Source organism: Homo sapiens, chromosome 4 (genome assembly GCF_000001405.40).
Source record: "Homo sapiens chromosome 4, GRCh38.p14 Primary Assembly".
NCBI classification, from domain to species: domain Eukaryota; kingdom Metazoa; phylum Chordata; class Mammalia; order Primates; family Hominidae; genus Homo; species Homo sapiens.
In genome coordinates, this window is record NC_000004.12 from 14519434 (window position 1) to 14533956 (window position 14523).

A 14523-nucleotide genomic window follows, 5' to 3' on the forward strand; every position below is an offset into this window, starting at 1 on the left:
CACTGGCTAGCAATAATACTTGTTCATCAAAAAGGGCACGTATTGCATAAGGCACTGTGGCTACTCATGTGTATTGGTGAACCATCTTCTGGAGCAAAATGCCCTGGTTATCATAGATACCCAGGTAGACTTAGAGCAGTTTACTCCAGACCATGACAACAACTTCTCCCATGTTCCTTTTAATTTCTTCTAAACTGACTGGGTTTCTTCTGCCTTGAAACCTGATCAGACCTCCCACCTTTTGAAAAGTATGAGATTTCTTTAATAGAATTACCCTTCAGGATTTTATTCTGAAAGAAAATTACACTGTGCCAACTTCTCTCATTTTGTATTGTAAAATTAGGTTAACAGACTCTTTGTTATTAGCCTCAAAGAAGAAATAAGTCACAGGTGGATCTTAAAGAGAAAACTAGGGTGGGGAGAGTCAATCCTTTCCCTATATTCCACTCACGGCCCTGGAAATAAATGTGTTTTTACAAGCCACGAGCTTCCAAATGGAGAATAGAGACACTAAAGGGGCATCTAAAGGTTGCTATTCCAATTGAGCTGTGGGCAAATGTCACAGAAGGTCTAGGAATCAGGGTCGGGGGCAGGAATTGAGGGCAACTCAGTTTCTAGATGTCAGGACATAAGCCACGAAGAACCTAGTACAGAAGACAGCAGAGTTAGAGTCATGGATGAAAGTCAAGGTCCAAATCTGGTAATATAAAGAAAGATAAAGTAAGAATCAGGCCTGGAACAGTCAGCCAGTCTTGGCTGGGAAGGAAGAAGTAAATTTTGGTCTAAATTAATTTAGGAAAAAAGTTTCAATTGACAAGGAATTTATTTAAAGGTCCAGGCACCCAGATGCTTGGATAAGCATCAGATTATCTCCAAATGCGCTGTCTCTGGCTCACACTAGATCTGTTACAGGGCTTGCTTTCAGAATCAGTATCTTCCCATCAAGAGGGTGTTTTCCTGACTCATGACTCAGCTCCTCCACTAGTCTTAACTAGCTGTTTTGCAAAGTGAGTATACACAACTACAGAGTTCCTTCCTCATCAACTGATATAATTGTACTCATATCTGCAAATGGTCCATCAATTCACATGCCAGTGTATTCTGTGAATGTCCCTAGCTCAGAGACTTTTAGAAAAATATAGAAACACAACGTGATTTTCACATCTTTGCTCCTACCTGAAGAATGACTGGTAACACAGATAAATCTTCAGATTCCTCACAACTGCATCAGAATGATTTCAAGAAGTGTTTGAGACCTTTTTGCATCTCAGTTCTGTGTTCAGTCATTACAGGAGACATTCAATGCTTTCCCTTAGGTCAGGCCCCTGGGCCCCTCATCTATAACACTGAAGTTAAACAGGAATTTTTCTTGCTAAAGACTTAACATAGATTTTAGTGAGAATGATCTGTGGTTTTTATCACATTTTCTTCCCAGATCAGAGGTTTCCAGAATGTGGATATGGTAAAAAGTAAAGGGTTGTTGGGGGTGGATGAGAATCATGACAAGCTCCTACTCTTTGTTCACTGGCCTCCTATGTTAGACTCTGCTTTCGCAAATCCAATTTCCTCCTCCCTTAGTAAAGTTATATCTGTGCAAATCTCAGATCTCCTACATACAGACTCACAGCAAGAATTGCCAGTGGCAAGCCAAGAGATGCCTCAATTCCAGAATAAATGGAGTTTTATGAAAAAGTATCATAGAACCTATGGCATATAGAATCATTGGTGTTCTCAAGTATCATAATAGACATACAAATATAAATTTTTTTTAAGGTTTGGAAAGGCTGAAGCACTAAATCTTGTTTTCAAAATTCACTTAAAGTCTTAAAATTTCCAAATTTTTATTCATAGAGTAAGCAGCAACAAAATATCTTGAGGCTTTCTGGGACATAGATGTCTTTTCTAAACTGTTTATCTCTCCACACACCAGGGTGGCCTTAAGCTCCCTTAATCCTGTCATAACATTTCCCCTAGAAACCGTTAAATAAATCAAGCATCACTTATTTATTCTATGAAGACATATTCCTTATCTTCCTTTTGTTGAATTTTCAGTTTCATTTATCTATTATACATTTATATATTTATCTACCTATCATCTATTCATCATCTATATTCTGTGCTGGGAAACCCAAAAATGAATCCCAGCACTAATACTGCAGCCTGACACTCATAGTGCCACAAGGTTTTGAGCTCCTGCCATGTACATGTGTTGGTTGGTTCTCACAACATTCTGAGATGGATATTACTATCCTCATTTTGCTATGAGAAAACAGAAGCTCAGAAAGGTTAAGCAACTTGTCCAAGACCACACAGCTTTCAAGAAGCACAGGCAAATTTTGAAGCCAGGTTTGTCTCCAAAGCTAGTGCCTTTTCCATTATTACACTGCCACTTAGCTCTTTGCGCCTCCCTTTACCTTTCCTTGGGGCAAATAATGCTAATATCATAGGATGGTTTTGTGAATTAATTACAAAATGTGAATGTACCTGGTACAAAGTCTTAGGAGCCTTAGGTACATTAGGGCCCAAATACTATCTTCACTTTAATTTATCCCATTGTTTTTAAAGTTTACCTTTTTTTTCAGTTGAAATTAATCTATTAAAGTCTGCAGGGAGCTTATCCTCTAGAAGCGCTTAGGATACTGTGGGGAAAGGGAAAGGCATTGTTGTTTCTCAGAGCCCTCAAAAAGATGCTGAAGGTGATAAAAACAAGGAGGCGGGATTCTGAAGGAAGAACTAAGGAAAAGAGAAGTTTGTAAATGAGACTGAAAAATGTGGACGAAACTAGGAGGAAAAACATTAGATAAAATATTACAAAAACAAGGAAGAAAATATTTTGAAAAAGACCTCAAATCATTTAAAAGCAGTATATCATAGATAATTACAAGAGCTACGATTATATGACTCTTTATGTGCCAGCCCCATTGTGATATATATACACACACACATAATATATAAATATATATTATAAATATAATTAAATTAAATTATATATAATATAGCATTATATAGAATATATATCATTTATGTATTTTATATATAATATTATAATATATATACATGTATTTAAAATCATTACATTGCTCACAACAATGTACAAAATAGATACTATTGTTATTCCCATTTTACAGAATAGGGATTTGAATATTAGAAAGATTGGCACCCAAAGTCATTATATCAGTTTTCTATGCTATGTAACAATATTACTACAATCTTAGCAGCTCAAATAAAACATGATCTTACCATTTTTGAGGGTCAGAAGTTTAGCCATAGCCTAGGTGGATCCTTTGCTTACAGCTTCACCAGGCTATATTCACAGTTTAGGCAGGGCTGTATTCTCATCTGGAGGTTCGAGTGAGGAAGACAGCTTCCCAGCTCACTCAGTTCCTTGATGGTTATTGGCTGTGGGCTGCCTGCAGTTTCTAGAGTCCATCCACAGTTCCTTGCCATATGGACATTCTCAAAATGGTCATTTACTTCATCAAACCCACTAGAATAATCTCTGGAGTGAGTCTGCTAGCAAGCCAGTCTTATACAATGTAATGTCATCTTGGGAGTGACAAATCATAATCTTTGACATATTACATTGGTTAGAAATAAATCACAGGTTCTACTCACACTCAAGAGAAGATTACATAGGGGCATGAATAGCAGAAGGCAGGAATCATTGGTGGTGGCTTGAGGGTCTGCATACTAGTCACCCAGCTATCGAGTGACAAACAGTTTAACTCCAGGGACTTCTCTTAAGCATTTTTCCACTGGGATTAGCAACATGGATATCAATAGAGATTTGAGGGAGAGCAATTTTACTGGAGCTATGAGTGAAAAACCCAACTGCTAGGACAACAGGCATATTTCAATTATTCCTAAATTTTTGCTTCTTTTGTTCCTTCCTTTCTTGTCTTTTCTTTCTTTTCATTTTCACTTCCCTTCCTTTTATTTTTCTTCTTCTTCTTATCCTGATCCTCTTTCTCTTTAGCACTCAATTGCTGATAAATTCAATCACAAATTTGGTTTACTCCAATAACATTTACTCGTAACAGGTACTAAGTCAGGTGTTTAGGGCCCAGTTCTGAATTAGAAGCATATTTATTTGCTCCCAGAGCTTGTCATCTTCCCAAGATTCTGAGACAAACTTTTATCTTGAAAATTACTCAGACTGACCCTCTGAATTATTCAGTAGGCACAATTCATCTCTCTTGTCACTGGTCCTTCTAGTCTGACTTTTTCCCAGAAGTGAAAGAAGTATAACTGGAAATTCATGGGGATTGTGAAGTCAATCCAACCTGTGTTTGAAATTGGCTGGTACCAGGTCACATTCATCAACCTTGCTGCTGAAAATCTTAACTTTTTAGAAATTGTATATAATTCAAAAAGGCAATGTATAAAAGCACTGATTTAAGTCCTGCCATTGTTCTAATTGAGAACGTGATGACTTCTACCTAATGTAAAGTACTTTTACAATGATCTCCAAAAGGTAAATATTTAGTTCTTTTAACCATGTATTTTTACCAAAAATGAGCAAACATAAAAGGGGCCTATAAACTAGGTAAATTTAATTTTGTATTTTTCTGTTTAATCCTTGGACTTATACATAGAATCAATAAAGACATGTAAGAAATGGTCACATTTGTTAAATTATTTTATGAAAAAAGACAGAACGAATAATAGAATGAACCAGCAAAAGAGAAGTGAATGAATAAATAAGTAAATAATGAATCAACTACCTACCTAGTAAGAACAACCTTGTATAGGCCAAAGATGATAAACTAATTTTTGAAGACATATTTCTTTTGTATTTTCCCATTTTGCTTTTTTCCACTTGAGCTGTCCATAGCAAAATATTAAGGAGTGAATGAGGAAGTCTTACTAAACCACAGTGGTGAGAGTTATGTAGAGTAGCCTTAGCCTCAGGAATTTCCATAGTCTGACAGAGGTAACTGGTGATGAGGAAAAACAACAACAGACAGACAAAAAATCATTCTGGGTTTCAGATAACCTCCAGCCAAGATAGCATTTGCTAAAGGAGAAAAGAGACTTGATCCAAAGCCAAGTGTCTAACAACCAGCCAGCCAAGAAGATGCAGGGGTGCTAGCCTTTAGTGAGTTAGAGCCAAAAGAATGCCTTGTGAATTAGGGCTACCACCTCTTAAGTACTTTCTATAAGCCAGAGATGTTGCACGCTGTCTTCTTCAAGCCCCAGCAGTTCTCAGTGCAGGAACAAGGCCATGGGACTTCAATTAAAGTTCCTGAGGCCTGCTGGCTTTCAACATTCAGAAGTATAGGACTCTAGAAAGCATAATACTCTATATATGCTTCATACTATATAACATCCTCAGCTTAATCACATTAATACATCTATATCCAAAAATTGGGAATATTAAGTGTGATAAGGGAAGACTTAAATAGTTGTATGTCAATTCAGAAGAGATTTTACTGCCAAAGGATCTTTCTCAATTAATTAATTTTTTTTAGATTCAGGGCTTTAGAATTTCAGAATTGTGTAAAAGAAATTATGAACATGAATTTGTATAGTCATGTTATAGATAAAGAAACTGAGACCCAGAGAAGTAAAATGACTCGCCAATATTTGCAGAGCTGAGGAGCATGGAATCAGGATGTGAACATCAAAGTGATGCTCAATGTTCCAAGAGAATATAGGCCCAGAGGAAGAAGCTTGAGTCTTGCTGGTCCAAGAGTCTGTTAAACACATCCTTTGTATTTAATGTACAATGAAACTGTGGATATAGGGCCTCTCAGTGACCCAGGCTTTGCTCAATTTTTGAGTCTTCCAGGATATTAAATGATGAAGAAATACTAAGATTCAGTTGTGAAAAATATACATTTTCACTTAATCTTTCACTTTTTAAAAACACACACAGTGATCTTTATTTGGAAGTAACATTTTTAAAAATCTAAAATTAAGACCTTTTATGAGCATGCACTGGTTAAATGAGTCTGTCAGTCCCATTTGCCATAATTTTAGCCCTAGAGAAATGTCAGTGGAACGTATCATATCTCAACAGTCTTAGGATCAAGAGAATTGATTATTGAGAAGGTGCTGTGTGAATTGTAAAACATCATATGCACATGTACAATCATCATTATTCATAAACAACTGTATTATTTGCATCTACCACTTTGGCCATGAAAGCTTCTGAATTTGAATTTCCCTGCCTTTTTTTTCTTGAGGCTATAAGCTATGCTAGACTATGTCTAGGGATATCTAATGCTGTCAACTCAGCAATGTCCATTTTTAATCGCTTTTTTGGGGTATACTTCATACATAAGTACGTACTGTTTTTGGCACAGTGATAAGCACTGAGTATACTTGGGACTAACCAGATAATCTCTTAACATAATAGGAATTTAAATTTAGTTCAAGAGGTGGATAATGAGCAACAATTGCTAGATAAGTGTTTTTAGTTTACAATTATGTAAGTGCTATGAAAAAATAAAATACTATCTGTGAATGTGAAAAAGGAGGACAGAATGAAAGCTGGCCCAGAGCTTGATTTAATCTGAGACCTAACAAGAAGTAGGGGACATCAAATCAACATCATGAAAATGGTCATAGAGCCCAAAGTAATTTACAGATTCAATGATATTCCCATTAAATTACCCTTTGCATTTTTCACAGAATTAGAAAAACTACTTTAAAATTTATATGAAACCAAAAAAGAGCCCACATAGCCAAGACAATACTAAGCAAAAATAAACAAAGCTGGAGGCATCATGCTACCTAACTTCAAACTATGATACAAGGCTACAGTAACCAAAACAGCATGGTACTAGCACAAAACAGATACAGAGACCAATGGAACAGAATAAGAACTCAGAAATAATCCCTCACATCTACAACGATCTGATCTTTGTCAAACCTGACAAAAACAAGCAATGGGGAAAAGATTCCCTGTCTAATAAATGATGCTGGGAGAACTGGTTAGCCACATACAGAAACTTGAAACTGGACCCATTCCTTACACCTTATACAAAAATTAACTCAACATGGATTAAAGACTTAAATGTAAAACCCAACACTATAAAAACCCTAAAAGAAAACCTAGGTAATATTATTCAGGACATAGACAAGGATAAAGATTTCATGAAGGAAACGTCAAACACAATTGCAAAAAAAGCAAAAATTGATAAATGGGATCTAGTTAAATTAAAGAGCTTCTGCACAGCAAAAGAAACTATCATCAGAGTGAACACACAACCTATAGAATGAGAGAAATTTTTTTCAATCTATCCATCTGACGAAAGTCTAATATCCAAAATCTGCAAGGAACTTAAACAAATTTACAAGAAAAAAACAACCCCATCAAAAAGTGAGCCAACTATATGCACAGAAACTTCTCAAAAGAAGACATTTATGTGGCCAACAAACATGAAAAAAAGGCTCAATATCACTTATTATTAGATAAATGCAAATCAAAACCATTTGAGATACCATCTTATGCCAGTCAGAATGGCGATCATTAAAACAAGAAACAAATGTTGGCAAGGCTGTGGAGAAATAGGAACACTTTTACACGGTTGGTGGGAATAGAAATCAATTCAACCATTGCAGAAGACAGTGTGGCAATTCCTCAAAGACCTAGAACCAGAAATACAATTTGGCCCAGCAATCCCATTGCTGGGTATATACCCAAAGTAATATAAATTACTGTATTATAAAGATACATGCACGCATATGTTCATTGCAGCACTATTCACAATAGCAAAAACATGGAATCAACCCAAATGTCCATCAGTGATAGACTGGAAAAAGAAAATATGGTACATATACACCAAGGAATACTATGCAGCCATAAGAAGGAAGATCATATCCTTTACAGGGACATGGATGAAACTGGAAGCCATTATCCTTAGCAAACTAATGCAGGAACAGAAAACCAAACACTGCATGTTTTCACTTATAAGTGGGAGCTGAACAATAAGAACATATGAACACAGGGAGGGGAAAAACACTCACTGTGGCCTGTTTGGGGAGGGTGGCAGGGAGAGCATTAGGGAAAAGAGATAATGCCTGCTGGGCTTAATACCTAAGTGATGGGTTGATAGGTGCGGCAAACCACCATAACACGTGTTTCCCTATGAACAAACTGCACATCCTGCACATGTATCCCGAAACTTAAAATCAAATCAAATCAAATCAATTTTTTTTAAAAAAATAACAATTATAGTAAAAAGAAGTAGGAGACATCCAGTAGAAACCATGGGGTTAATCTGAAATAAGGATGCACAGAGAGGCAGTAGCCAGATCCCAGATGACCCTTGTATGTTGTATTATGGCACACGGTGGGGCACTGCCCAGGGAGACAGTGGTTCAACTCTTTTGGAATTTTCATTGTCACATGTTATGGCAGGGACTGAAATATACAATGCAGCATAAATGATAGATATAGTGTCAGCTCAGTATAATCCCAGGATGATTTGGCTGGCATACCAAGCAACGTAGTTGGTTTGGGGTGTAGAAAAAATAACGAAGGCTAGCCTATGATGTGGGAGATTACGTCTGGATCATGATCCTGAACACTATAATCCTGAGTGTTGAAATCTCAAAAGATAAAAATCCCTAATGTCCAAAACTCTGCAAATCACAATCATAGGATGGTTGCATCATGTTAGGCAGAACTATTACCTTGTTTTTGTTATTATTATTATTGTCTTTATTTGGAATTCAAGTATGCTTTAAGGACATGAACTGAGAATTAAATATGGTTAAGGAGATGTTTTTGGGTGCCAAGTGGACAAGGGGTGGACTTGTGGACTTAAGTTTATGTTTCAACTTGAATGGATTAAGGAATACCTAGAAACCTGGTAAAGCATTATCTGGATATGTCTATGAGGGTGTTTCCATAGATTAGTGTATGAGTCTGAGTAGATTAGGTGGCAAACATCTGCCCTCGATATTGGTGGTCGCCATCCAACTGGCCAAGGGTTCAGAGAGAACAAATACAGAAAGGGAATGGCACTCTATCTGAGGGCTAGGACAGACTTTTCTTCTAGCGGCCTCAGAACACCAGGCTCTCTGGCCTTTAGACTCTAGGATTTACACTATTCTGCCTTCATAAAATGCTCTTTGTCAGAGAATAAAAAGAATTCAACAAGCTCAGTGACCTGTTGAACCAAAGACACTTGCTAACTTCCTTCAGTGTTAGAAAACACATTACATGGTGAAATAATTTGATTAGGGATTTGACTGTTGAAGAAGATAGACTTCCTATATTTACCACTAAATCTAACACAGAAAAACTAGCACATGCTTCAGTTTGGCTAATAGATGGCACTTTCAAAACTCTTTGTACTGTTTATATACAATTCATGACCCTGTTGGATCTGAAAATTCTAGAACTCTACAATTAGAATTCTGGAATTCTACCTTCTCATTTATGTATTAATGAATGGAAAAAGTGAAGCATTTTATAAACACTTATTTGAAGATTTGGTGGACTTTGCAGAAGAAAATGAATTTCAATCAAATCCTCAATCCATAATGACAGATTTGAAATTGGGTATGAACAAAGCTTCTAAAAGTGACTTTCAAGGTATTACCTACCAATAATGTTTGTTTTATCCATTAGGCTCAGTGCATTTGGTGGAAAATTCAGATGAGCGCATTGGTCACCTGATAGGGCAATGACAAAAACTGTAGTTCAAAAATGTGTCATTTGCCCGCATTGGCATTCCTTCCAGCTGATGACATTCCAGGAGTTTTTAAGGAATTAAAGCCACATTTTTCTGAAGAAGCCAGCAAAGCTACTGACTGGTTCAAAAATAATTATGTGCATGGTAGGATAAAAAGACACACAACAATATTGCTGTTTGATCTCCAATCTTGTTTCTGCCAAATTTGTTGCCTGTAAATGTAGGCATGCAGAATGTATTTCTGCATACCCAAAACAACAAATAAATAAATATCTTTCAAATAATTTGAATTATAGCTTTAGAATTATATTTTCAGGATTTTGATCTTTCAGCATTTCAACATTTGGGATGATGGCGTGATTGTGTCTTTCAGGATTATAATCAGCTCCCTGGTAGATTATGTTCACTTTTCTAATACTTCTTACATTGTATTATGGTCATTTTTCACAAGTCTTTCTCCCACTGTAGGCTTGAAACTCAGGGAGTGGGCAAATTTATATCTACCTCTACATCCTGTTTCAAAGATGAAAGCAAACTTTAAAAATAAAAATGAATAGGGCCTATAATTTGAGAAACATACATCTTTCAGTGCAAAGGAATCTGTAGATTTAGCAGTGGGAAAGCATGCTGACAAGGGAACAGTGCCCCTTGCAAAGAGCCTTGTGAAAAACACCCAGGATTAAGGGCTTTATCTTGCCTGTGATGGTGAGTCATCGAAGGCTTTAAAAATGGCATGGTCAAATTTACTTTTGAAAAGATGACTCTGAGTGCACTAGAGACAAATGCGTCTGGCAGCAGGAAGTCCAGTTAGGTGGCTGTGGCAACAATACAGAGGGGAAAAAGGAGACCTAAATCAAGGAAGTGGCGGAAGAGAGGTAGGGGAGAAGGCATATTAGAGAAGCAACCAGGAGGATTTTGCAACTTCAATTGCTCAACTGACTATTATCGGTTATTTACTATTTACTAGGTAGGATAGGGAGAAATAGTCCCCAGCCCTGCTTCTGAGGAACTCAATTATTTTAGGGGGAATGAAAAAAGTCAGGTGTTTTCTATTATAAAATGAGAAGAAATGTACTTTATTGGCAAATATTTGGAAAAATCTAGTGAATACTGCTTATGATAGTACTCTTTAAATTATTTATTTATAGGTATTCTTAAAAGCAAAAATAGTGCCAGGTACTATTCTTTACATTTGTTAATCCATTCAGTCCTCAGAACAGCTCTATGTGGTAGGTTCCAATATTAGCTCCATTTTACAGATGAAGAAACCAAAGTATTGTTGTTATTGAATTACACCAAGTAGCTTATCTGATTATCATAAAAATATGCCATGCCTTTAGAATGCAACCTTAGACAGCAGACAATAAGATGGAGCTAATAACATAGTACAAACTGATTGACCTTTTCCTAAGTTTAGGGGTGTGTGCTGCATGAATGTAGGTGAACAAAGCTGGGCCAAGAGTCACTCTGATCCATTCCTGCAATCCAAATTGCTAAACTAAATGAGTGGTTGGATATATGAAAGCATGGATGAGTGGTTGGCTAGTGGATGAAAGATAGATCCATCTCAGCATGTGATTTTTAAAACAGGTGAAGCCAGTTGATCTCATATAACATATATGTGATAGCTCTTAAAGAGAAGTCAAGGCCAGGCATGGTGGCTCACGCCTGTAATCCCAGCACTTTGGGAGGCCGAAGCGTGTGGATCACCTGAGGTCAGGAGTTTGAGACCAGCCTGGCCAACATGGCAAAACCCCATCTCTACTAAAAATAACAAAAATTCGCTGGACATGGTGGCAGGTGCCTGTAATTCCAGCGGTTTGGGAGGCCGAGGCAGGAGAATCGTTTGAACCCAGGAGGCGGAGGTTGCGGTGAGCCAAGATTGCACCATTGCTCTCCAACCTAGGCAACAAGAGCGAAACTCTCAAGAAAAAGAAAAGAAAAGAAAAAAAAAAGACAAGCCAGACACCTATGGGTATTTGGATGCATTTCCTGACACCTATGGGTATTTGGATACACTTCCTGGGGGACTTCATTATCATGTTGCATTTTCTCCTTTAAACTGATGTTTGATTAAGCCCCTGGCTTTTAAATTTGGTTTCCCTTGCTTAGACCATCTGGGGACATTTGTATTCCTCATTCAGAATTTTGAATTCCCAATCCAGGGGTCAGTGCCCTGTGCTATTTGGCCAATCCTCCACGAACAGGGGAATTCAGACTAGATGGATGGAAGAATGGATATATCATCACCTGGACCTCATAAATTACTAGATTAGAGATCACAGTTGGGCCCAGAAATGTACGCCTTATTCTTCAACACTTTATTTTTGTTTCCACTTTCTACAGCTTGTCTTGGCAGAATAATTTTTAGCAGAATTATTCTTGATTGACTGTCAACTTTATTTTAAGCCAGTATCTTATCCATGCCTAGAGCAAAAGTTATATAATGTTTCGCTAGGATAACTGGGAGTTCAGCTATTGGAATTCAACAATTAATAATGAAAGTATCAAGTCATGAGATTTTCCATTCTCTATAGGGTCTCCTGTTTGTCTGACTTTGAACTTTGAAGATTTTTTAGTAGACACCAGATTTCACACTTGAGTGGGTTCCTGCCCTCAGGTTTAACCAATATGCTTTTTCTCTCAGCTATAGCAGATACTGTTCTATTTTATTTGAATTCAAGTAAAATAGGGTTTGGTTGGGTGTACACATTCATCCTATGGGTCTTTTGTTCTTTTTCTACTATTTTTAAAGGAATATCCATATTTTTGTACGGTTTTATCACAGAGACAACTGCTTAAGAGTAAGGATTAGAGCGTGAATCAAGGGAAAGCCACAGGTTCTATGAAAACTGAACCACCAAACATGATTCTAGGAAATCCTTTGGATTCCAAGCACAATTGCATTTAACTCCTTTACATGCATGATATCTCCAAAAGAGATTTAATTCATCAGAGTTATGGTATGATATAGCAGAAAGTCTATTAGCTTTGTTAGAACAAAAGTAGACAGTTATGAGCTAACCTGAAATTTACTTATTTTAACATCTTCCTTCCTCCCTTTTTTCCTTTGTTTACTTCTCTTCTTCTTCCTTTCCTTAAACATGTATTTACTGTGCACCTGCTATGGAGCAGGCCCTGTGTTCGCATCTGGAGTAAAACCACATATTCTCTATCATGGATTCTATAAACTTAAGACTGACATGTTAATACTTCTGTCCTGGGGCTCACATCTATCCAAAAATCAGGTAAGTTTGCTCGTGAATGTTGAGCTCTGCTGACTAAGTACAAACAAGTGCAGTAGATCTGAAACAGTAGAGGAGGGCTCCTTGGAGAGGAATTTGCTAGGGTAGAGGTTCTGTGGAAAGAATAGGACAGCAGTTGCAGCTGGGGTGCTGAGACTGAGGGGATATGGTGAGAGATAAGTCCTAAAAGGCAAGTCATGGTCAGAGAAGGAAGGACCTATGTCATTCTAAAGAGGAGAAGAGGTATATTTGCAGTGACTAGCCTGGTGTGTTGAAAATACTCTTGTGGTTACAGAGTGAAGAGCAGGTTGAAGAGGGGCATGAACAGATGTGAGCAGATCAGTTAGAAGGATATGGCAGCAAGCCAAAGGTAAGACAATGATAGCTTCTACTTGGATGGGGTGATGGAGATGGAAAGAAATAGACTTATCCTAGACAAAATTGGAGGGAAAAGGCTTTCTTTAAGCTCCTCCAAGCTAAATTCTATTCTTTCAGAAAGCTTCTCTCATTTTTGAGATGAACAGAGTGTGTTTTTAGACTCTTATCTTCTTGTTCCCCTTTATAACCAGATTTGGCTTTATAAAGCTCTTCATTTTACATGTTTGTTTGTTTTTTTGTACAAAGTAATAAATGAAAAGCAGCAATTAAGGCCATTTCAATTGACCTTTATGTGTTTAGTGGTTTAGTGTGAATTCATTCCATCATCATAGAAGAAATCATTCTTGAAAAAGATCTATTGTTAGGGCCTGGGAAATTCAGAAATAAATAAGCCACTCTCCTTATTTGCCCTCAAGAAATCCCCTTTATCAGGGGAGAAGGACATGCAAATAGATCATTGCAAGGATATGATGTGAACAAGATCAAAAGCATGCACCAAATGCAGAAAAGATCTCAGAGAGGAATTGGATGATTCTGATGATAGGTTATAAGAGGATTAAGAAGGTCACAAGTCACCCAATATTTGAGACAGAGCAGTGGTTTTCAAACTAAAACTAAACACATGATTACCAGGCAGAGCTTGGATGAGTAGCTGAATATACAAGGGAAAATAAAGCAGTTTGAAATACTCTAGAAGCATATTGCTTTGGACATGTCTTTGATAGCTATCCTGTTTAACTGGATCTCCAACAGCAATAACTGGCAAGACAGAACAGGAAAGGGAGAAACATTCCCCAGACTCCATGGTGCCAGCATGTTGTTCAACATGAGGGACTTCCTGGGACTTCAGTCTACTTATAAGTCTAGAAGAAAAGAGTGGTGGTGTGGGGGTGGGTCCTGAGAACAATATGTACTGTATTGCAAAACAATAATCTCAAGAGAGGCTGTTAAAATTTCCTCAAGTAAGGCAGGATTCCCTCCTTCAAACAGGAATGAAGAGATGCCTTCTACTAAAGCTGGGAAGGTTGCTTCCACTGGTAAAGGAGACTCATCAGAATTTAGAGGCTCATTATCCCCAGCTTTATTGAGGTCTTCTCACACATCCCTCTTCAAATTTTTGGTATCCTTTTCTTTCGCAATCAATGCCCTCACTTTAACGTTAGACACCCTGTAAGGTGGGAATTCAACTTGCATTGTAACTCAGCCAGTCACTAAATGAGATTCTGGGTTTGGTTTTCAGGAATCTCACC

General features: G+C 37.3%; 1 long non-coding RNA gene across 1 annotated transcript in view; it reads right to left on the reverse strand.

Annotated features, from left to right (window-relative positions):
* Nucleotides 1–14523, reverse strand: part of LINC00504 (long intergenic non-protein coding RNA 504) — a 417705-nt gene that overhangs the window by 48969 nt on the left and 354213 nt on the right. The window lies entirely within an intron of this gene.